At 44.3% G+C, this 23,713-nt stretch overlaps 1 protein-coding gene across 4 annotated transcripts, besides 8 other annotated features; it reads right to left on the bottom strand.

The window, feature by feature from the left end:
• Positions 1-7,451: 7,451 nt before the first annotated feature.
• On the bottom strand, positions 7,452-20,773 carry RGCC (regulator of cell cycle). 4 transcript variants are annotated; one of them, NM_014059.3, is made up of 5 exons: positions 20,567-20,773; positions 19,853-20,038; positions 11,393-11,500; positions 9,485-9,547; positions 7,452-7,845 (listed from the first exon to the last, which is right to left on the bottom strand). In NM_014059.3, exons 1-5 carry the CDS (start codon positions 20,613-20,615, stop codon positions 7,838-7,840), a joined length of 414 nt encoding a protein of 137 aa, NP_054778.2. In that variant the 5' UTR covers positions 20,616-20,773; the 3' UTR covers positions 7,452-7,837. The 4 variants fall into 4 exon arrangements, 2 of the variants coding, with proteins under 2 accessions (NP_054778.2, XP_047286238.1); XR_941565.2 differs by lacking the exons at positions 7,452-7,845; positions 9,485-9,547 and adding an exon at positions 19,084-19,351 and having other exon boundaries at positions 11,413-11,500; XR_007063677.1 differs by lacking the exons at positions 7,452-7,845; positions 9,485-9,547; positions 11,393-11,500 and adding exons at positions 16,851-17,441; positions 19,084-19,351.
• Positions 12,852-13,111: an enhancer, noted in NCBI's record as "active region_7632". NCBI's record gives its function as "activates an Ori minimal core promoter by ATAC-STARR-seq in GM12878 lymphoblastoid cells {active_cell/tissue: GM12878}" and the evidence as "EXISTENCE:reporter gene assay evidence [ECO:0000049][PMID:35858748]".
• Positions 13,605-13,819: a silencer, noted in NCBI's record as "fragment chr13:42038640-42038854 (GRCh37/hg19 assembly coordinates)". NCBI's record gives its function as "represses an EF-1alpha promoter that drives an FKBP-Casp9 reporter gene in an ReSE screen in HepG2 liver carcinoma cells {active_cell/tissue: HepG2}" and the evidence as "EXISTENCE:reporter gene assay evidence [ECO:0000049][PMID:32094911]".
• Positions 14,891-14,950: an enhancer, noted in NCBI's record as "active region_7631". NCBI's record gives its function as "activates an Ori minimal core promoter by ATAC-STARR-seq in GM12878 lymphoblastoid cells {active_cell/tissue: GM12878}" and the evidence as "EXISTENCE:reporter gene assay evidence [ECO:0000049][PMID:35858748]".
• Positions 16,384-16,483: an enhancer, noted in NCBI's record as "active region_7630". NCBI's record gives its function as "activates an Ori minimal core promoter by ATAC-STARR-seq in GM12878 lymphoblastoid cells {active_cell/tissue: GM12878}" and the evidence as "EXISTENCE:reporter gene assay evidence [ECO:0000049][PMID:35858748]".
• Positions 19,731-19,860: an enhancer, noted in NCBI's record as "active region_7629". NCBI's record gives its function as "activates an Ori minimal core promoter by ATAC-STARR-seq in GM12878 lymphoblastoid cells {active_cell/tissue: GM12878}" and the evidence as "EXISTENCE:reporter gene assay evidence [ECO:0000049][PMID:35858748]".
• Positions 19,910-20,587: an enhancer, noted in NCBI's record as "H3K27ac-H3K4me1 hESC enhancer chr13:42031872-42032549 (GRCh37/hg19 assembly coordinates)". NCBI's record gives its function as "activates a minimal SCP1, AML or CMV promoter by ChIP-STARR-seq in naive H9 embryonic stem cells {active_cell/tissue: H9 hESC(naive)}" and the evidence as "EXISTENCE:reporter gene assay evidence [ECO:0000049][PMID:30033119]".
• Positions 19,910-21,000: a biological region, named in NCBI's record as "H3K27ac-H3K4me1 hESC enhancer GRCh37_chr13:42031872-42032549".
• Positions 20,161-21,000: a silencer, noted in NCBI's record as "silent region_5291". NCBI's record gives its function as "represses an Ori minimal core promoter by ATAC-STARR-seq in GM12878 lymphoblastoid cells {active_cell/tissue: GM12878}" and the evidence as "EXISTENCE:reporter gene assay evidence [ECO:0000049][PMID:35858748]".

The following is a 23,713-nucleotide window of genomic DNA, read 5'->3' as shown; positions in this document are numbered from 1 at the left end:
GTAAATGGGCTAAATGCCCAATTAAAAGACCCAGACTGGCAAATTGGGTGTGCTGTATTCAGGAGACCCATCTCACATGCAAAGACACACATAGGCTCAAAATAAAGGATGGAAGAATATTTACCAAGCAAATGGAAGGCAAAAAAAAGCAGGAGTTGCAATCCTAATCTCGGATAAAACAAACTGTAAACCAACAAATATCAAAAGAGACAACAAAGGGTATTACATAATGGTAAGGGGATCAATGCAGCAAGAAGAGCTAACTATCCTAAATATATATGCACCCAATACAAGAGCACTCAGATTCATAAAGCAAGTTCTTAGAGACCTACAAAGAGACTTAAGACTCCCAGACTTTGACTCCCACACATAATAGTGGGAGACTTTAACATCCCACTGTCAATATTAGGCAGATCAACGAGACAGAAAATTAACAAGAATATTCCAGGCTTTAACTCAGCTCTGGAATAAGCAGACCTAACAGACATCTACAGAACTCTTCACCCCAAATCAACAGAATATACATTCTTCTCAGCAGCTCATCGCACTTATTCTAAAATTGACCACATAATTGGAAGTAAAACACTCCTCAGCAAATGCAAAAGAATGGAAATCATAACAAACAGTCTCTCGGACCACAGTACAATCAAACTAGAACTCAGGTTTAAGAAACTCACTCAAAACTGCACAACTACATGGAAACTGAATGACCTACTCCTAAATGACTACTGGGCAAATAACAAAATGAAAGCAGAAATAAAGATGTTCTTTGAAACCAATAAGAACGAAGACACAATGTATGAGAATCTCTGGGACACATTTAAAGCAGTGTGTAGAGGGAAATTTCTAGCACTAAATGCCCACACGAGAAAGCAGGAAAGATCTAAAATTGACACCCTAACATCAAAATTAAAAGAACTAGAGAGGCAACAGCAAACAAATTCAAAATCTAGCAGAAGACTAAGATCAGAGCAGAACTGAAGGGGGTAGAGACACAAAAAGCCCTTCAAAAAAATCAATGAATCCAGGAGCTGTTTTTTTAAAAAAGATCAGCAAAATGGACCACTAGCCAGACTAATAAAGAAGCAAAGAGAGAAGAATCAAATAGACGCAATAAAAAATTATACAGGGGATATCGCCACCGATCCCACAGAAATACAAACTACCATGAGAGAATACTATAAACACCTCTATACAAATAAACTAGAAAATCTAGAAGAAATGGATAAATTCCTGGACACATACACCCTTCCCAAGTCTAAATCAGGAAGAAGTCTAATGTCTGAATAAACTAATAACAAGTTCTGAAATTGAGGCAGTAATTAATAGCCTATCAACCAAAAAAAGTCCAGGACCAGATGGATTCACATCCTAACTCTACCAAAGGTACAAAGAGGAGCTGGTACCATTCCTTCTGAAACTATTTCAAACAATAGAAAAAGAGGGAATCCTCCCTAACTCATTTTATGAGGCCAGCATCATCCTGATACCAAAACCTGGCAGAGACACGACAAAAAAATAAAATTTCAGGCCAATATCCCTGATGAACATCGATATGAAAATCCTCAAAAAGATACTGGCAAATCAAATCCAGCAGCACATCAAAAAGCATATCCGCCACGATCAAGTCAGCTTCATACCTGGGATGCAAGGCTGGTTCAACATATGCAAAACGATAAACAGAATCCATCACATAAACAGAACCAATGACAAAAACCACATGATTATCTCAATAGATGCAGAAAAGACCTTCGACAAAATTCAACACCCCTTCATGCTAAAAACTCTCAATAAACTGGGTATCGATGGAACATATCTCAAAATAGTCAGAGCTATTTACGGCAAACCCACAGTCAATATCATACTGAATGGGCAAAAGCTGGAAACATTCCCTTTGAAAACCAGCACAAGACAAGGACGCCCTCTCGCACCACTCTTATTCAACATAGTATTGGAAGTTCTGGCTGGGGCAATCAGCCAAGAGAAAGAAATAAAGCGTATTCAAATAGGAAGAGAGGAAGTCAAATTGTCTCTGTTTGCAGATGACATGATTGTCTATTTAGAAAACCCCATCATCTCAGCCCAAAATCTCCTTAAGCTGATAAGCAACTTCAGCAAAGTCTCAGGATACAAAATCAATGTGCAAAAATCACAAGCCATCCTATCCACCAATAATAGACAAACAGAGCCAAATCATGAGTGAACTCCCATTCACAATTGCTACAAAGAGAATAAAATACTTAGGAATACAACTTACAAGGGATGTGAAGGACCTCTTCAAGGAGAACTACAAACCACTGCTCAAGGAAATAAGAGAGGACACAAACAAATGGAAAAACGTTCCATGCTCATGGATAGGAAGAATCAATATCATGAAAATGGCCATACTGCCCAAAGTAATTTATAGATTTAATGCTATCCCCATCAAGCTACCACTGACTTTCTTCACAGAATTGGAAAAAACTACTTTAAACTTCGTATGGAACCAAAAAAGGGCCTGCATAGACAAGACAATCCTTGGCAAGAAGAACAAAGCTGGAGGCATCATGCTACCTGGCTTCAAACTATACTACAAGGCTACAGTAACCAAAGCAGCATGGTACTGGTACCAAAACAGATATATAGACCAATGGAACAGAACAGAGTCCTCAGAAATAACACCACACATCTACAACCATCTGATCTTTGACAAACTTGACACAAAAAAGCAATTTGGAAAATGTTCCTATTTAATAAATGTTGTTGGGAAAACTGGCTAGCCATATTCTGAAAACTGGAACTGGACTCTTTCCTTACCCCTTATACAAAAATCAAGATGGATCAAAGACTTAAACATAAGACCTAGGACTATAAAAATCCTAGAAGAAAACCTAGACAATACCATTCAGGACACAAGCATGGGCAAAGACTTCATGTCTAAAACACCAAAAGCAATGGCAACAAAAGCCAAAATAGACAAATGGGATCTAATTAAACTAAAGGGCTTCTGCACAGCAAAAGAAACTATCATCAGAGTGAACAGGCAACCTATAGAATGGGAAAAAAGTTTTGCAATCTATCCATCTGACAAAGGGCTAATATCCAGAATCTACAAAGAACTTAAACAAATTTACAAGAAAAAAACAACCCCATCAAAAATTGGGCAAAGGATATAAACAGACACTTCTCAAAAGAAGACATTTATGTAGCCAACAGACATGAAAAAATGCTCATCATCACTGGTCATGATAGAAATGCAATCAAAACCACAATGAGATACCATCTCTCACCAGTTAGAATGGCAATCATTAAAAAGTCAGTAAACAACAGGTGCTGGAGAGCATGTGGAGAAATAGGAACACTTTTACACTGTTGGTGGGTGTGTAAATTAGTTCAACCATTGTGGAAGACAGTGTGGCAATTCCTCAAGGATCTAGAACTAGAAATATCATTTGACCCAGCAATCCCATTACTGGGTATATACCCAAAGGATTATAAATCATTCTACTATAAAGACACAAGCACACGTATGTTTATTGCAGCTTTATTCACAATAGCAAAGACTTGGAACCAACCCAAATGTCCATCAATAATAGACTGGATAAAGAAAATGTGGCACATATACACCATGGAATACTATGCAGCCATAAAAAAGGATGAGTTCATGTCCTTTGCAGGGACATGGATGAAGCTGGAAACCATCATTCTCAGCAAACTATCACAAGAACAGAAAACCGAGCACCGCGTGTTCTCACTCATAAATGGGAGTTGAACAATGAGAACACATGGACATAGGGAGGGGAACATCACACACCGGGGCCTATTGGGGGTTGGGGGAGGGTAGGGGAAGGATAACATTAGGAGAAATACATAATGTAGGTGACGAGTTGATGGGTGCAGCAAACCACCGTGGCACATGTATACCTATGTAACAAAACTTCGTGTTCTGCACATGTACCCCAGAATTTAAAGTATAATAAAAAAAAATTTTAAAAAGGACAAAACTGGAGGAATCACATTACCTGACTTCAAATTATACTACAGAGCTATAATAACCAAAACAGCATGGTCCTGGCATAACAACAGACACATAGACCAATGGAACAGAACAGAGAACCTAGAAACAAATCCACATGCCTACAGTAAACTCATTTTTAACAAAGGTGGCAAGAACATACACTGGGGAAAGGACAGTCTCTTCAATAAATGATGCTGGGAAAACTGGATATCCATATGCAAAGAAAGAAACTAGACCTCCTTCTCTCACTATATACAAAAATCAAATCAAAATGGATTTAACACTTAAATCTAAGACCTCAAACTATGAAACTACAAAAAGAAAACATTGGAGAAGCTCTCCAAGACATCAGTCTGGGCAAAGATTTCTTGAGTAATACCCCACAAGCACAGGAAACTAAAGCAAAAATGGACTAGATGGGGTAACATCAAGTTAAAAAGCTTCTGCACAGCAAATGAAACAATCAATAAAGTGAAGAGACAACCCACAGAATGGGAGAAAATATTTGCAAATTACCCATCTGACAATGGATTAATAGTCAGAATATATAAAGAGCTAAAACAACTCTATAGGAAAAAAAATCTAATAATCTGATTTAAAAATGGGCAAAAGATTGGAATAGACATTTCTCAAAAGAACACAAACAGATGGCAGACATATGAAAAGGTGCTCTACGTTATTGATTAGAGAAATGCAAATCAAAACTACAATGAGATATCATCCCACCCCAGTTAAAATGGCTTTTATCCAAAAGACAGGCAATGACAGATGTTGGCAAGGATGTAGAGAAAAGGGAATCCTTGTACACTGTTGGTGGGAATGTAAATTACTACAGCCACTATGAAGAGCAGTTTGGAGATTCCACAGAAAACTAAAAATAGAGCCTACCATATGATCCAGCAATCCCACTGCTGGGTATATGTCCCCCAAAAAAGGAAATCAGTATATCAAAGAGATATCTGCACTCCCATATTTGTTGCAGCTCTATTCACAATAGCCAAGATTTGGAAGCAACCTAAGTGTCCATCAACAGATGCATGGATGAAGAAAACATGGTACTTACGCAAACTGGAGTACTATTTAGTCGTAAGAATGAGATTTAGTCATTTGCAACAACATGGATTGAACTGGAGGTCATTATGTTAAGTGAAATAAGCCTGGCACAGAAAGACAAACATCGCATGTTCTCACTTATTTGTGGGATCCAAAAGTCAACAGTTAAACCCATGGAATTATAGAGTAGAAGGTTGGTTACCAGAGGCTGGGAAGGGTAGGCATGGTTAATGGGCACAAAGTATAGTTGGAATGAATGAATAAGGCCTAGTATTTGATAGCATGACAGGGTGACTATAGTCAATAATAATTTAACTGTACATTCAAAAATAACTAAAATGGTATAATTGGATTGTGACACAGGATAAATGCTTGAGGGAGTGGACACCCCATTTTCCATGATGTGATTATCACACATTACATGCCCATATCAAAACAATTTATGTGCCCCATAAATACATACACCTACTATGTACCCACAAAAACTAAAATTAAAAAAAGTTAAAAAGACAACCTAATTTTAAAATGGGCCAAGGATTTGAATAGACATTTCTCCAAAGAAGATATACAAATGGCCAGTAAGCACATGAAAAGACATCATTAGTCACAGAGAAATGCAAAATAGGCCGGGCGTGGTGGCTCACACCTGTAATCTCAGCATTTTGGGAGGCCGAGGAGGGCCGCTCACGAGGCCAGGAGATTGAGACCATCCTGGCTAACATGGTGAAACTCTGTCTCTACTAAAAATACAAAAAATTAGCCGGGCGTGGTGGCGGGCGCCTGTAGTCCAGCTACTCGGGAGGCTGAAGCAGGAGAATGGCGTGAACCCGGGAGGCAGAGCTTGCAGTGAGCCGAGATCCCGCCACTAGCACCCATCCTGGGCGACAGAGCAAGATTCCATCTCAAAAAAAAAAAAAAAAAAGAAATGTAAAATAAAACCACAATGTGATACCACTTCCCACCTGCTAGAATGACAAGGCAGACAATAACAAGTTGGCAAGGATTTAGAGAAACTGGAATCCTCATACATTGCTAGTGGGAATGTAAAATGGTTTTTCCAAACTGCTTTGGAAAAGTTTGACAGTTTCTCAAAAAGTTAAACAGAATTAACATACGACCCAGGAATTCCACTCCTAGTTATACACCCAAGAGAAATGAAAACATATGTCCACACAAAAACTAATACATGGGTATTCATAACAATATTATTTGTTAGCTAAAAAGTGGAAACAACCCAAATCTTCACCAACCAATGAACAGATAAACAACTGTGGCATATCCACACAGTGGATTATGATTTGGCCGTGAAAAGAAATGAAGTACTGATTCATGCTACTCATGGATGAACTTTGAAAATACTATGCTAAGTGAAAGAAGCCAGACACAAAAGATTACATATTCGTTATATGAAAGATCCAGAATAGACACGTTCGTGGAGACAGAGAAGTAGATAGACAGTGGTGATGGCTGCAGTACCTGTGGATATGCTAAAAACCGCTGAACTGGGTGCTGTAGTATGTGAATTAGATCTCAATTTTTAAAAAAGAAATAAAGAAAATATTTGAGTTCAACCCAAAAGTTTTCCTGGAAGCTGAGGAAAAGAAAAAAGTTAAAGAAAAGCAATTTAGTTTCCCGATTCCCTAAAAAACACATCAAATATAGTAGTTAGCTTTTGAAGATACAAGTAAAATTATAAGTAGTTATGTTTTGGATTTATGTCCTTTAGGAATATAGGGATTCAAGTTTTAAAATAACTTTATTCTGATTATGAAAGTAATGCCTGGTTATTTTAGAGGAGGTTTTAAAGACAGAAAAGCATAGATACGAAAATTATGAGCTTTCTTATTTTTATGCCTCTCTCCAGCCCCCACAAAGGCAAGTGGGAGAAGTGGTCAGTGGCTTCTATGTGCAAAGCCCACCCGTCAAACTCTTCACACCAGAGGTTTGCTGGACATTCCATGAAAACCAGCACCATCAATCTTCCTCCACACAGATCTTAGAAAAGCACCATCATTTTCAAGTCTTCCAGCTATCTCAACTTTCCCTCGTATTTAAGTCCTGGATTGTAAGAACTGGTACTTCCCTTAATTCAAAGAAAGAGTCCATGCCACCTGCAATGGTGCCAAGATATGAGAAGGAGGGCAGAGACAGAATAGAAACCTAACTTCCAATGAAATCACAATCCTGAAATTAAAATTTCCCAGCAGCCGTCTGCCAGCATTTCCTTCCAGAGCACTGAATGAGCTAAAGGAACACTTTAAGTTTACTGTCCTCTTGTCTAGTGCAATCAGACAGCACCCAGGGGCCTTGCTAAGGAAACAAGAGGCATGTTACTCCCACTAGAATATTATTTGAATGGAAATATATTTTAAAAAATAAAGAAAAAGAAAAGGAAGCAGACTTCAGTTCAAATTTTATTTGTATACAAAAATATATTATAATGGGAAAGCTTACTGCTATTTCCAACTATATATAATTAATTACAAATATTTTCATAAAAGCACTTTAAATTACAGGAAAGCTATGTTTTAAGAGAAAATACAATATTAGCATGGATCGTCTGTTCTAATATGCTGCAAGCAGGTAAACAAAGTCAGTTTCACTGTCTAAATTGCCCAGAAATGGGATCAAGGGCTGATTTTAAGGTGAGCCTGAGAGTGGCCTGGTAGAAGGTTGAGTGCACGTCTTTGTCCCCTCTGGCAGCAGATTCTAGTAGCTGATTTTAGCAGGTCCTCGGAACTTTCTGAAGCTTCTCCCTTATGATGAAAGGACCCAGAACTTCTTGTTTCACATACCTGTAAATGAGAGATAGGTAAGGTTATCCACTCAGAGGCTCACAATTCCTATGCTTAACCACATCACACTGTCTCAGACGTGCATCAAAGCACCAAACTCAATGCTGGGCTTCCCACACGATGAGTGTCTGATTAACTGGAATGACTGGGCAACCCACTGCAATTTCCATGAAGTAGACAGGCTTGTTACATGGGTCTAATACAAATTATGCTGCAATTATAATAATCCCTGTCAAAACAAGCCCTGGTCTTCTGATGTAAGATGGTGCAGTACATAAGAAAAGAGGCAATAAAATCTTCAATTTTCAAATAGAAATGATACAAGGACTTTCTATCTGATATTTAGGTTTGTCTGCAAGAGTGTTAAGAACATAGTTATTTTTAAATAACCAGCTTTGGATTTAATTTTTCAGAGTTTACCCGGCTCTTTAGCAAAGAATAGCATTAAATACTTCTCACAGAAAATCAACCCTTACCCTGGAAAATTAAGGGGCTGGGACAAAATTTTCCTAGCCCACTCTGTGACTAAACAGGACCCCCCGTAGTAGAGTTGCTGAACCTTCCATCCCAGAAGCTGGAGTTGGTCCTCCTGGCTCTTGCAATCTTATCCTTTGGAAATAGAGTGTGTAGATAGATTGTGAGGGTCCCTTCTTCTGGGCCCCTATACTGCAGTTATAATTTGATGTCTTCAGTTCTCAACATTTTTGGTCACACAAAACAGGTAACCATTAGTGTAATTCCCAAATAAGAGGCTTGCAAGTATGCATACCTAATCCAGGTCATTCAGTCACTGGCATGGGTCTCTGGTGAAAGGCCCCACAAGCCAATTCTCTCTTTTGGCACCCACATCTTAAAGTTAAATTTCACCCAAACCCTGGATCTAACCTGGGAAAATTACCCTGGCCCATGGGATGGAAGACTTTTGGCTTGTTGGAATAATGCACTTGTGGTTAATCAGTTCATTTCTTCTCTGAAAAGCCTGACAGGCCATCATGATGGTAATGCTCCAGTCTTGCTCGCTCTCCATTTCTCAAACAAAATGCCATTGTTTGCTAGTGACCTGTTCTCACTGTTTGGAAACGCACATGGTCTACTTTAACACAAGCTTATCCCAGAATTTCATTCCTAGCCACTAGAGTCCTGTTTCTTCTTCTTCTTCTTCTTCTTCTTCTTCTTCTTCTTATTATTATTATTATTATTATTATTATTATTACTATTTTGACGGAGTCTTGCTCTGTCACCAGGCTGGAGTACAGTGGCGCAATCTCGGCTCACTGCAACCTCTGCCTCCCGGGTTCAAGTGATTCTCCTACCTCAGCCTCCCAAGAAGCTGGGACTACAGGTGTGCGCCACCATGCCCAGCTAATTTTTGTATTTTTTAGTAGAGATTGGGTTTCACCATGTTGGCCAGGCTGGACTTGAATTCCTGACCTCAGGTAATCCACCCACCTCAGCCTTCCAAAGTGCTGGGATTACAGGCGTGAGCCACTGCCCCGGCCTAGGGTCCTGTTTCTAAACCTATAGAAGGCTTAGGATGAAACTTTCTGCCCCAGGGCAAGCTGGTTAACATTACAACACTTTATCAGAAGTGTCTGTTAGTTTTTTGTTTTTTTGTTTTTAATATCAGACATGTACTTACTTGCTAAAGTTTTGTCAAGATCAGCAATGAAGGCTTCTAGCTCTTTTGTGTCTCCTAATTTAGCTGTGAAACAGGAGAGGGAGAGAGAGAGAGAGAGAGAGTTCAGTTTCCATAACAAAGACAGCTGATGACTCCATATTGAGTTTTCCAGGAAGTTGGAACTTCCAGAGTTATAGAATGGATTATTTCTATTTTACATCTACCTCCTTATCTTCAGAGACTTTTATTGAAGAGTGTCCTGGGCCAACCCTAAGTGTGTGCTCCAGTGTTTTGATACAGTAAACTCAGAAACTGATTCTGAAGACTAGCCTAAGTGTTTCTTTATTTTTTAGTTCATCACCACCCTCTCCAAACATCCCACCCCACTTCTCCCTCACCTAGAAGAGGAATCTTCCTTCACTGTCTTAAATGTTTGCAGGAGAGTGAGGAGCAGGAAGGGAAGATAAAAGGAGTCTGGTTTTTGTATTGTGTAGAATATGAGTTATTAGTCAAAAAATTCAGTAAGCATAGCACTGTGCAGAGCAGACACCTAGATTGTGTCATTCCTGCGGCACTAGCCTTCTGATGCATTCTTGCTTGTGCTGTCCCCCCAGGGCAACGCTGCAGCCCTCAGAGTTCCTCCAATATGAAATGAATGAAGAGTTCACTGTTTCTTATCAAAATGGTACAGGGAAGGTGCCATGAGTCTTCTGGGCCCAGGACAGCCTCATCCCCTCCAGGTGCCCACACAAGGAAACGAGTCCTCATTCTGATTTGGTTCTCTCTAGAGCCTGAGATGTAGAGATTTTTTTCATATAGCTGACTTTATTTTTGTAGAGTTCATCACATCATTCATGCCTTCCCTGAAATGCAGTACTGGACAGTTTTATTAATTAACACCTGCTGGCTACAAATGGCTAATTGTTCTTAGCCTTTTAAGTCAATTTGCCACTAGGGGCTTTTTTTCCCTCTTTAATTCCTACCTCTTGAGGATCAGGTAACAAATCTGAGCACGTTTTAAGCCACTTTTTAGACTGCTCTGTCTCTGAATTCAACTGATTCATTACAGACTGAGGGCTGGATAGTGGCAGAATTCCCAGTGGGTGCTAACGTTGCTATGTTGAGAAGGGAACTTTCAAATGCCTCTTCTGAAAAAAGAGTGAAGTCCTGTCTTATTGCCAAAGTGAAAAGAGTGATGGAATTGTCATTTCTTTTTAACTATGTTCCATTTTTATTGCATTCTGCAACTATTTTCAGCAAGTATAACTTTTCTTAAGAAAAAAAGCTCCTTTTGTTTTCAAAAAGGCACTTGTCCAATGTAACAGAACATTCAACTCTCTAGCTGGAGACATTTTACCAGTTCCAAAAAATAAGAAACTGCTCATGCATCTTTAAAGACATTTTAGGTCTATTAATACCACAGTAGAGACAGGCTGGAGCTGCTATTTTAAATCATGTTAGATCATAGCTTATCTAATAATGACAACCCCATTTAATTGCTAAATTGGTCATCTGAAAGCATTGGTTAAATAATTAATGCAATAAAAAGAATCCCACTATCTGCAAAGGCAAACTGCTGAGTTTTAAATTCTAGAACCAACAAGTCTGGGAGGAGACTCCTAAGAAACACTGTCATTTGCACAGTCTTGATTACATCACATGAGAGAGAACAGTCTAGTCTCCAAATTTTCTTTCTCCCTGTGACTTCAGGTTTTCTGCCCCAAATTATCTGATTTCATGTTCACACTGATTAAAATCCTGAGAAATAAAAAATTCCACTGTATACTCTACAGTATTAAGACATTAGTCTTACCTATTTGTTTTGTACATTTGAGAAAGATTGTTTAGGGATAAAAGGGACAGAGAAGGGATTGAGAAGGAGAGAGGAATAAAAAAGCAAAAAACTCAAATTCCAACTAATGACCTTACCTTTCTGAGGAGTGACAGTGGCAGAGAGAAGAGCTGGGGTAGAGTCTGTTGGAGAATTCAGTTTTTCATCACTGAAGCTGAAGCTGTTCCTATAAAGTGAATCTGCACCTTTCAGGAAGGAAAATATACTCATTAGAAATAGTACTCATGAGATTATAGACTTAGCACTTTATAGTCTATTGATAACCAACAATTTGTCTTCAAAATAAGCCAAAGCTGCAACTCTATAGTAAAGAAAACAGCCAGGCATGGGGTGGCTCACGGCTGTAATCTCAGCACTTTGGGAAGCTGAAGCAGGTGGATCACCAGAGATGAGGAGTTCAAGACCAGCCTGGCCAACATGGTGAAACCCCATCTCTACTAAAAATACAAAAATTAGCCAGGCATAGTGGTGTGTGTCTGTAGCCCCAGCTACTTGGGAGGCTGAGGCAGGAGACTCGCTTGAATCTGGGAGGTGGAGTTTGCAGTGAGCCAAGATCACACCACTGCACTCCAGCCTGGGTGACAGAGTGAGACTCTGTCTCAAAAAAAAAGATTAGAAAACAGGTTGATTTCCAGGTTTTATGTTTATGCCCCCAAAATGATTCGAGACAGGGGAGAGAGGGAGTGTGTGTGTGTGAGAGAGAAAGTGTGTGTGTGTGTTTGTGTGAAAGTGTGTGTGTGTGCATGAGTGTGTGAGTGTGGGTGTGTGTGAGAATATGTGTGTGTGAGAAAGTGTGTGAGTGTATGAGTGTGTGTGAGTGTGTGTGTGAGAAAGTGTGTGAGAGTGTGTGCGTGTGTGAGTGTGGAGTGTGTGTGAGAAAATGAGAGTGTGTGTGTGAGAGCATGTGAGTGTGAGAGTGTGAGTGAGAAGTGAGAGAGTGTGTGTGTGTCAAATCAAGTATACCAAAGGCCCTTGCTTCCCCAATACAGGAAGGGGGTGATAGGATCATCATGACCAGTGCTTGGTTGATGGTGGGAGTGTGGGGGTAAGGATTTTAGGCAAAAGGAATCATCTCAAGTGAAATATGTCCCTTCTGCCCTCTGAGCCTCCTAAAATACAAACATCCAGTATCCCATGACTTAAGCCTCTTTCCCTGCTCAAGAGAGATCTTTGCTCTCTTGCTGTCCTATAATTTAATAATCCTCTCTTTTACTTAAGAGAGGTTTTCCTAAGAGTCTGTACTCTTCAGATAAGCCAGAAGGTCAAAGATAAAGACATCTTCTCCTGGAAGTTCATCTATTAGACACTTGGAGTGACATCATGGCTCCCTCTATTCTCATACCTCCAAAGACTTGAACCACAGCAAGATGAGGCCCCAGAAGTTCAAGGCTGAACTGGGAGTCAAGGGGACCATCCAGTCAACTACTAAGTACTAGGGTGCCTTTGAGCTAGTACATCTCTGGGCCTAGCTTACTTATCAATAGAATGGGAAGGCGGACTAAATAATCCTTAAAGGCACTTCTAGCTCTAAAGTTCTGAGATTCTCTAAGTCCTGCTAAGGGGAAGGAAACCAACGCACGGTTGGCCCAGCTGTGTGGCTGTGACTCAGAAAGGGGCTGCTGGCTGAGCAGCACTGACTCAAAGGGTGCAAAGGCAAGGCAGGCAGCAGAAGCAGGATGTGGCCCCTGAGGTCACGGGGAACAGCCTTCCTGGTTAAAACAAAACACAAAGCCAGCCACAGTTGGAGCAGAGAAGTGGCTCTTCAGGTGTGAGAGGGCAGCTGAATGATGGGGGCCTTACCAGGTCCCCGCCTCCTCGGGATTCTTCCACTTTAAGCCAACTACCTCCAGCTTAGGGGGAGGCAAAAACATCTCTCTTTGGTCCCATTAACTGAAAAGGAATTTGCCTAAGTGACAAGAGATAGGCCCAGTACAAAAAGTATCAGAGTTTTCGGAAGAAGAGGTTTCTAGTCTCAGGGAAATTCAGCTTTGTCCCTAAGAGGCTGCCACAACTTCTCAGGTGCCTCACCTGGCTCCCTTTCCCCCCACCCTCTCCTGCCCAGGGGCCCACCTGCCCCCTGCTCTTTTTCGCTGACACCGCCATCTTGTCCACTTTTCCAAACATGCCCAGAAGACCCTTGAGAGCAACCCTCACAATCTTTGCTTCCTTCAGAGGTCCAGCCCAGCTCACCTGAAATGACCACCATCACTGGGCTTTGAGGATGAACATGGACTGAGATCCAAAATCCTGGACCTGATACCTACACTTCCCCAAAAATACATTCCTCAGAGTGCTGGTCCTCCGAGGGCTGTGTGATCAGGTACACCTGAGAAACACCAAACAGCCTTGCTCATTCCCATGGGTATGCCCACTTCCAACATCCTGAAAAGACTTGCGGTTAAACAAAACCAGCCCCATTTCCCCAGTGTACCTGACCACGGGACACTTCTTTGTGGTGCTCCTGCTACTACTTCTCAGGACCCTTGGACTCCGTGGAACCTTACTTGGGAAGCCCTCCTGCTGGCTCCCTCAACCGAGCCCACCTCCAAAGGTGGGCTCTCCAATTCTCCCAAGGGAAGCCCTTTCCCCTACACACAGGAAGCTGGCCACACCCACTGCAGACCTGCAAGGAAGCCTTACTGTTGTCACCATGCAGTCACCAGGAGAATCGCCACAAATACAGCCTGAGAAACTCATGGGGAGAAGATAAGGCAAAATTTAGGGGCAAGAAAACCACAGAGGGTCCTGAGGAGGCAGGCCTCATGCCTAGACTCTGAGCCAGAAAATACCAGGCCCTTGGCACATTATCCGTGGCTATGAAGGATACCTGAGAGCTTCGCCCCCATCCCTGGGCCCAGAGGCTGGCTGGCCCAGATCGCAGGGACCACACCTCCGCTCTCTATCTCCCACAAGCAGCTGGCCTGGGAGAGCAACTTTCCACACCACTGCTCACTCCACCCACCCGGCATGCACCACAGGCCCTACCCTGACTTTGAACTTCAGCTCTCTTCTGCCCCTACTCTCCAGCAAGTTTCCATCCACGTACACTCCTCTGCAGGGGAGAAAGACACCACAATTTGTTCACCTCACAGGCAAGGAGGCCAAACGCTATTGAATGTTGGAAGAAGGAACAATCTAGATATGGAAAGGCCATTACAAAAGAGGATGTTAGCAGGGGAAAAAAGGAATCCAGCAAAGATTCAGGAAAGACTCAGCATAACTCATGGGGCCTGGAGAGAATCTGTAGAGAATGAGCCGTAGATCCAGAATATTGCCAGGACTGTCCTCTGATCCTTTAGGTTCACAGGCTAAATGCCTTCTTGATGTGAGAATTTTTCCCAAACTGAGAAAATATACAGACAAACTGACAGCCACTCCCACAGTGAGGGAGGAAGAGGAGGAAAAATACTAGTTACAATATCTATTTATATAGAAACACACGCAAACAGAGGCATGGCAGCACAGCTACACTCACTTCCTCCTGCCCGCCCCCGCCCTGCCCACCACACACACACACACACACACACACACACACACAGATACACATTAGCTCACGCCCCAGCTCGTTGCCACACCATGACTTCACTCCCTTTCCGTGAGGTGTACAATCTGGGACAGACCCAACTCCAAGTTTTGAACTGTTCAACCTTCGACCACCAAGAAGAAGCCGACCGCCAGCATCCTTGAGCCAAACCTGCTGCAGCTGAGGCGCACCCTGTGATGATATCTACACATCGTGTATGGCACAGATGAAAAGAGAGCCCTCAAGGCCCCAAAGCTACACCACTGGCGAGTGGGCATCTAGCATCTATGCCACTGTCGAGTGGGTGTCTAGAGGCCACGTGAAAACTGCATGACCCTGTAGAGTCACTCTGTTTCTTCCTTGTTAGAAGAAGAACAATAACCTAGGTGCTCTGTGTATAATGCCTGTGGTTTTAATGATTTAACTCTAAAGTTCCTAGCAAAGTGCAGAATAGCACTCCTGAGAGAGAAAAGGTAATCACAGAGAATAAACAGAATCAAGATCCTCCCTCTTCTTGAGAGAGAGCAGCAACATTCTTAAGAGAACTTTCTCTTCAGTGGCATCCTAGAACAAACCTCCCAAGAACAAACTCTCAACATAGAGGTACCCCAAGCTCTAGACCTCTCTTTACCCTTAACCAATAAAATTTCTTTCCATAGAGTTTTATTAAGAACATACAATGGGCAAAATCTCACGCAAGACAGATTTCAAGGTAGGCAAAGCCGGACATCCTGTTCTTTTCCCTCCCCTGGAACTCTATTCCTTGCAAAAGTAATAGCCAGTTAGTCTGATTAAATGACAGCAATGTGTTGCTGGCTGATCACATATTCATGTATTATTGCCCCGCGTGGGTATCAGGTGCTGCTATTAATAGGGGCTCGAAGGACCTAGAACAGTGATAATTTGGGGAACCCTGGCAGGTGGTAAGGCTGGATATTTGAGGGCCTTACAATATCGGCTTCAATCAGCTCTAAAGCACCATCTCACATGTATCTCAAATTCCCATTAGAAACATCCCTGGCAAGTCTAGTTAGTGTACTGAAGTCAGGAACCTCAAATTCTGGGACCGTGTTTTCTAAGGCACCATCAAAAGAAAGAAAAGCATATGAAATATACAACTAACAGAGTCTGAGAAACACTGCTGCAAAATAGAGGCTTGTTTAAAAGGTAGGTGTGTTTTTTTAGCTAGGGGGGTTGGGAGAAAGGTAATTTAGGGTTAGCGCATGTCAACGTGCTGCTCCAGGGGGAAGTAAAACCACAGACAGTAAACCTTACCCAAGGCTCCTGTAAATATAGAACGATCCCACACGTTTAAAGCAAGCAAACTATAGTAATTAACCAAGAAAAAGAAAGCTTTGGACCTACCTCCCTTTTGCCACAGGGAATGGCTGGGGGTGTGGGTTGACTTCTCCTCCTGAAAATCTAAATTCTGATAGCCTCGCCAAAGGGGGGCAAAATAAGAAAGAGCATCTTTCCTCAACTTCTCCACTGTTGTCCCAGCTCCCTTTCTGGGATCGCACTGTCCCTCTATATGCCTTGCCAAGCATCACAAGATCCATTACCCATGCAGAATTGCTAACACAGTACCAGGGAACCCTGAAGGCTCCTCATTGGCCTTATTCTCTCATGGCTTGAACAAGTTCAGGTTCTACCTCAGTGGCTTCTAAGCCACATAAGCCATCTGTCATGCTGGTTCTCCAGGGCCCACAAGGTCCCCTCTCCCAGGGCCAGGCCAGAATAGCCTAAGCAAAGATATGCAGGTGTTCTAAGTCTTGCTGATGCTAAAGAAGCCAGTTCCTCATTTCCTAAATGGTCCTACAATATCATAATAACCCTAGCATACACAGTAGACTTCAGACCTTTTCTGTTGAGCAGCAAAACACTCCCCCGTCAAAGGAAAAATTATGTGAAACCCCAATACCTTAAAGGTATAAGTGCATACCACCTTTTAAAGTTTAAGTTAATATTATAAACTTCTTATAAAGTCAACACACTGGTTAAAACTTGAAACATAATGAGTTAAAATTCCATTTAACACATTTGAGAAAACATGGTTTACCTTTTACAGTTTTAAAAATACTGAAAAGAAGATATATTTCTAAAAATAAATTCAAACCAAAGGTAGTCAATTTCTAAAGCACCTCTGAGGATGAAGTTTGAGAAACACTACCCTAACTCTTAATTGCATTGCCCTTTCACTACTGAAGTTAAAATCACTCCCACTAAAGTGCCTGATTTTTTTACATGTTGGAATCAAGTCTAAACGAAAGTAACAACACTATTTTGATCAACCACATTTGAACTCCACACCCCCCACCCCACCATGTGAAGTTATACTGCAATTGTTATTTTGGTCCTCTTCATGTCTTAAGAGGCCTCCCTGAAAGTGGGAACAGGAAGGAATATTTCCTTATTAAATATCTGTTCTTCTTTCCTATCTGAGTAACTTGTTTCTTTCAGTACGAGGAATGGCTATTTTTTGCCTTTGGGTGCAAGCAACCTAAATTTTTTTTAATGATAATAAAGAAGTATTCTTCAAAGAACAGGCTTGCTGTTTGATCTTCCTTGTAAGGTTGGTGCACCTTCAGACAGAGCTGTAAAAACTAGAGCAAAAAACAAAGGTAACATTGGTTTACATATTCATCCAAAATATTTTCATGCGAGACACTGGCTCCAATGTATCTATATGGTATAGCACAGCATGTACATTGTAATGATATTTTGAAAGTATTCAACAGAGCAAATATTTTCTCCCTAATAGCACTATTAAATAGCATCCTTTCAATTTCACAGCTAGAGAAACTAAATCCCACTCATCACCCAGGGCCTTGACAAGGCTCAATCTAAGCTCTACTGACCCTGCCAGATGACCACCACCTCAAAGAGACACCTTCATAAACAGCCATCATTGACAAACAGGCATGTGATCTGGGCTCAAAAGGACTTCAGTCTATTCGTGAAGACATGGTTCCCATTCCAGCTAATAAATCATCATCATCATCATAACAAGCGTTTGCTAAAAGTGAGCTGCTGTTATTATCCTTATCCTGGTGTGTCTCCCTCTTGATGAGCTAAATTTCAGTAGTATCTACCTCTCTTAAGCATTCTCTCCCATAGAAAAGCATTAAACAGACAAACGAGGATAACAAATGTCTGTACTCAATTCTTGGCAGCAATTAAGATATACATATTATGCTTCCTTAAGAAATTACTATTTAGATACACACAGCTTCTGCCAACAATATTTCTGACTAGCCTTGTGAGAGAAAAACTACACATTTAAAGCAAAGACAAATGTCATCTGAGCTTTCTTTATGTTCTTCCCATCACTTCTCTAACCACCAAACTAAGGGTTAGTCCGTTAACAACAAAAGCAGAAAACAGACACATATAACCTAAGCAAAACTACAAACTATCCCAACTATCTCCCCTGAAACTGTTAAGAATGTGTTTCTATGTCTTCTCTTTAAGGCATCTGAAAACAGATTCTAGATCTGAAATCCCACCCAGTGGAAGTTGCAATCAGCCATGAATGGGCGCGCTCAGACCTATTCTAGTAGAGTGAGGCTGTTGCTTAGAAAGGAGCTGTTCTTTGCCACAGAGCAGCAGCGACACACTATCCTAGCTTTCTTTTCCATGCGAGAATCTGTATTTGATGAATAACTTGCTCCATGCCCCAGTAGGAGGAGACATATTTAAGTTTGGCCTTTAGAATTGAGACAAATTTCAAAAATGTTAACACTTTGCTTTGAAATTGAAAATGAACCTATTCATTAAGAACAAAGTCCAAAAATTCTAAGTGGAAAAGTAACAGTACTTTCTTCCATCCCCTTTCACCTCAAAAGCTGCAGCTTGGTCTAACTCTTTGGCAGTGCTGCCAAGGAAACAAGCTGGAACTCAGCTTCCTGAGTCAAACCCTGACCAGGGTGGTGAGCGCATTTATCCCTTTGCAGAAGGGCAGCTCATGTTCATGTCTAGCCCCGAATCTTAGCCCAGGAACAAGGAAGAGCTCCAGGTTTCAAAATAAGAGAATCACACGGAAAGGCCATTACTTTCACGTCCTGAGTCAAGGGCAGCAAAAGGAGTGACATTCATGCCTGTAACCCATCTAAGGATTAAAGGCTGAAGAATAACACAGAAGAGTTTAAAATTGACTTTGCCCTTTGAAAAACAATAAGCAATTCTGGATTTGAAACCAACAATCATGTAATATTAAAAAGGCACCTAATTTGCTGTTTGAGGTACCTGTAATCCTCCCAGGACATGTGAGTTCCTGGAAAAAGCTGTCTCTTTTGTTGTTTTTGTTGTTGTTGCTGTTGTTGACAAAGTTGTTCAGGACAAAGAGACCCTGGGGTAGTCTCCATTGTGAGAAAGATCACCAGGAACCACCTTCATGCCCATGTGCTCTCTGGCTCCCCCTCCAGCCTGGTGGAGGACCTGGCTGAAAAATACTTGAACTCAGCAGTGCCAAAGATTTTCATAACTGCATGCAATGGAGCAACAAGTCTGAGAGCTAAGGGCCAGAAGACAATGCAAGCAGTTATTTCATAAATCCCAAGAACAGCAGTTTGGGCTTATGAAACCTTTCCTGGTTTCATGAATATTTCCGTTCTGCGCCCTCCCATGTCCCCACTGTGCCCCCTCATTCCACTGGCACTTGTTCCACATCTGCAAAGTTACAGCTGAGAGGGGAGAGGCACGGAAAGGAGAAGAGGAGGGAAACTGCGGAAAGGCCTGGTGCAGGTCCAGGGAGTCCTGTCTGGCTGAGTCGGGACAAGCTGCTTAAACTCGCCTGCCTGGTGACACACCCGTGGGCGGCAAGTGAACCAACCTGCCCTCCAGCGACCTTTCCCGTGATTATCGTCAGGGGCCCCGCCACCACTCGGCCTACTGCGTTGAGCTTCAGGAAACCATTCCTCAGTTTACTGATAAGAAAACTGAGGCCGCAGCCTTCGCGGGGCAGGTCCTGGGAGCTGGGAGATCCCGGCGCCATCCTAGCGGGGGCCGCACTTACTCTCCGAGTCGCTGAAGCCGCTGCTGTCGCTGACACTGGCGCTGCTGCGCCGCTTCATGCGCTCCAGGTGCTCCTCGTAGTGGAAGTGGCGCTCGTGGAAGGGCGACGCGAAGTCGGCCAGCACCGCGTCAAACTCGCACAGCGCGTCCGACAGGTCCTCCGCGGCCGCCGAGTCCAGGGCCGGGGCTGCGGGCAGGGCCAGGGGCTCAGTGCACGGAAGTCAGGGGGGCAGCGGGACCACCTCCCAGGGCCAGGAGGGGCCGCCACGGTTCCCGAAGATAACTGACACTTGGCGCCTCTGCCAAGTGACAGCCACGCAGTCGCTGTTACCTTGTAATCTTCTCCACCACCCCCGAAGTGCGTTCTATTACCAAGTCCGTTTTACAGACAAGAAAACTGAGCCTTCGCCAGGCCCAGGGTCACCCAGCGACTTGGCGCGGCCAGATTCCTCCCCAGGCGCTGCCGGTTACCTGTCCCCGCCGCTCCCCCCAACCCCGGGCGCGCGCGGAGCTGGTGGTGGAGGGAAGGTGGGACATGGGGGCCAGCCCGGGCCGGAAAGGAGGCTGCAGCCGCCCGCGCGGGAAGACCGGGGACAGGTTCCCGCCGGGGAGGATGGAAGGGTGGGGGGTGTGAAGGGACGACACGGGGCCCCTCCTTTCTCACCCGCCATCTGCAGAGCCGAGACTTTAAGGGGACCCCGGACCCCGCACTCACCTGCGGCCGCGGCGGCCGCGGGGCTGCCCTGCGCCGCGGGCGGCTTCATGAGGCGGCTCAGCTGGGCCCGGCGCGCGTGGCCTTGGGTCCTGCGAGGTGGCAGCCGGGGCTATTCGGGGGCTTGCTGTCCCGCACACTTCAGCCCTGCCAGTCCCTTCGGCGCTGCGCTCCAGCCGCGCCGCTCCCAGCACGGTCCGCGCCCGCCCTACCACCGGCTCGGGTTCCTAGATCTTATAGCCTTCGGCGGCCGGAGCGGAGGCGGGGCCGGGGCGGGGCTGCGGAGCCGGGGCGACGGGTCTGTCCCCGCCGCCCTCCGAGGAGGCCCCTGCCCCCAGGCACCGCCCTCGCCACGCGCCCGCCCTGGAACCGCGGTGACGAGGAGTCGCCGAAGCCCCGGTTACAGCCCCAAATATTTACCCGCCTCTCGCCCCCGCGCCCTGACAACCCGGCCCACGCGGTGTCCTCGGCGTCACCAGAGCTGACTGCTGGGCGCGAGCTCTGCTGCTTCCCGCCGCGTGCCAGGCACCTCCGCGAGCCGCAGCTTCCTCGGCTGTGAAGTGGACGTGGGCATGCAGAGCCTCCCTGGCTGGCGGTGAGGGACGAAGGAGCCCGCGGCCGTGTCCCAGTCGGGTGTCGGGGACGCGGAGGTCCCCTACGCATTGTCCCAAGGGGACTTCCGAGATGGTGGGCGGGCGGAGTGGAGAGGGTCGGGGCGAGAGGGGCAGGAGTTGGGGGAGTCCTGAACTGTTCCCACCGCGGAGCGCGGGGGCCTGAACTACGGTCCAGGGCGCTCCCGCCAGCCTGACTTTATCTAGAAGGGGTTTATTATGGGAAGAAACTACTGCGTCGACGCAGCGCGAACAGGGCGCCTTGCAGTGTCCACGGAGTAACGAGCCACCCTGCCCCGCGGCCTGCGGGGGCGAACGCCCTGGACTGTGCGCTGAGCTAGGCGCTAGCCTCTCGCCTCTCACCACAGACGGCTAATTAAATGTAGAGCAATTAACATGTAACGGAGTGAAACATTCAGCCTCCACTCCCAGCTAGTTTTTGTATTTTTAGCAGAGACGGGGTTTGTCCATGTTGGCCAGGCTGGTCTCGAACTCCCGACCTCAGGTGATCTGCCCACCTCAGCCTCCCAAAGTGCTGGGATTACAGGCGTGAGCCACCGCACCCAGCCAGGATTTGTTTTCAGAATATAGAAAGACCCATCTACAAAGTAATCACAAATAGACAACCTGGTAAAAATTAAAAATGAGCAAAACATTGAAACATACACCTCACAAAGGAGTATATGTTAATGACCACTAATCATATGAATAGTCCTCCTCTCTTGTCTACTCTGGGTGGCCTAGGGATATGCTTGTCTTGTGGAGGCACAAGCACTGTGGGCTCAAGAGTGGGGAGCCTCTTTCCCTGTTAAGGGGAGGACACCACTGGGATCTCTGGTGCCATCTCCTGCAATGGATCCTCTGATGTGGGGTCGAACAGAACTTCAGGAGTTGATTTCCCTGGGTGAGTGGAGCGGGATCCTTCCTTAGCTATCTGTCCCTTTGCTACTAGTATTGCTGCTGCATGCCCTCAGCCACTGTGGGGGTTCTAGCACCAGCTGTCACCAAGTGTCTATGTATGGGAACTGGTCTAGGTATCTTTACCAGTTACCTTGTGCCACGCCTTAGAAACAAGGGACCTGTCCAGGCTTCCTTCTGATGGCCAACCCACTTCTAATGGTGCGCAATCTATTTCCCACAAGGTTCTAAGTTCCCCTGGTGGTCTAGTGCTTAGGATTCGGTGCTCTCACCGCTGCTGCCTGCGTTCGATTCCCGGTCAGGGAACAAAGAAATGGAGCATGGATGAGCAGCGGACAAAACCCCTCAGACAGCGGATTAAAGAAGGAAGAGTTTTTTTTATTCCGCTGGGAGCTTCGGCAGACTCGCGTCTTAAGAGCCGAGCTCCCGGAAGGAAGACAGAGTTCCTGGCCCGTTTAAGGGCTTACAGCTTTAAGGGGTTCCACGTGAAAGGGTCTTGATGGATTGAGAGCACATGTACTTAGAGTCACGGGGGTTGATTGTTTCACCTCAGGCCGGCTCCTCATTGCCACCGGCTGGTCTTGACACTGACTTCATTCCTGTTGTTTTCCAACTTTTACTTCCTCCTCCTCTTCAGAGACAGGAGACAGTAGCGAAATGGCTTCTCTCCTCAGGGCGACAGGATGATATTACTCCCAATATCACAGGGGGTGTACACACCCCTATGAAACTCTTCCTACTATCCAGAGGGAGAGAGGATGATATTACTCCCAATAGCGCAGGGGGTGTACACAGCCCTGTAATACTCTTCCTAAAATCCACAGGGAGAGAGAATGATATTACTCCCAATATCGCAGGGGGAGTACACAACCCTGTGATATTGTTCCTAATATCCAGAGCGAAAGAGGATGATATGACTCTCAGTATTGCAGGGGGTGTACACCCTCCTGTAATATTTTTCTTAATACCCTGGGAGGGAGAGGATAAGATTACATTGAATATCACAGGGAATGTACACTCTCCCCCCTCTGATACCCTTCCTAATATCCAGGGGAAGAGAGGATAATTTTCCTCCCAATATCGCCGAGGCAGTACACCCCCTCCCCATGATATTGTTCCTAATATCTAAGGGAGGAGAGGATGATGCTTCTCCCAATAAAGCAGTGGGTGTACATTACCCCTGTGTTATTGTCTGTAATATCCGGGGCGCGGGGGGTGCAGGGGAGAGGATAAGATTCCCTCAAATTTGGCAGGTGGTTTGACACCCCATGTGGTATTGTTTTTAATATCCAGTGGGGAAGACAATAATACTACTCTCAATATCACAAGAAATGTACATCCCCCTGTGATATTGCTACTAATATCCAGGGATAGAGAGAATGATGTTACTCCCAATATCGTCAAAGTGTCCACCCCCCCCTTTGATATTGTTCTTAATATATGGAAGGCAAGTATGATATGACTCCCAATAAGAAAGGGGGAATACACGCCCCTGTGATATTGTTCCCAGTATGCTGTGGAGGAGAGAATGATATTACCCCCAATATCGCAGGATGTGTACACCCCCCTGTGATCTTGTTCATAAGGTTCAATAGAAAAGATAATCTTACTGGAAATATCG

Source organism: Homo sapiens, chromosome 13, assembly GCF_000001405.40.
Source record: "Homo sapiens chromosome 13, GRCh38.p14 Primary Assembly".
NCBI classification, from domain to species: Eukaryota; Metazoa; Chordata; class Mammalia; order Primates; family Hominidae; genus Homo; species Homo sapiens.
This window is presented reverse-complemented; position numbering and strand designations above follow the sequence as displayed.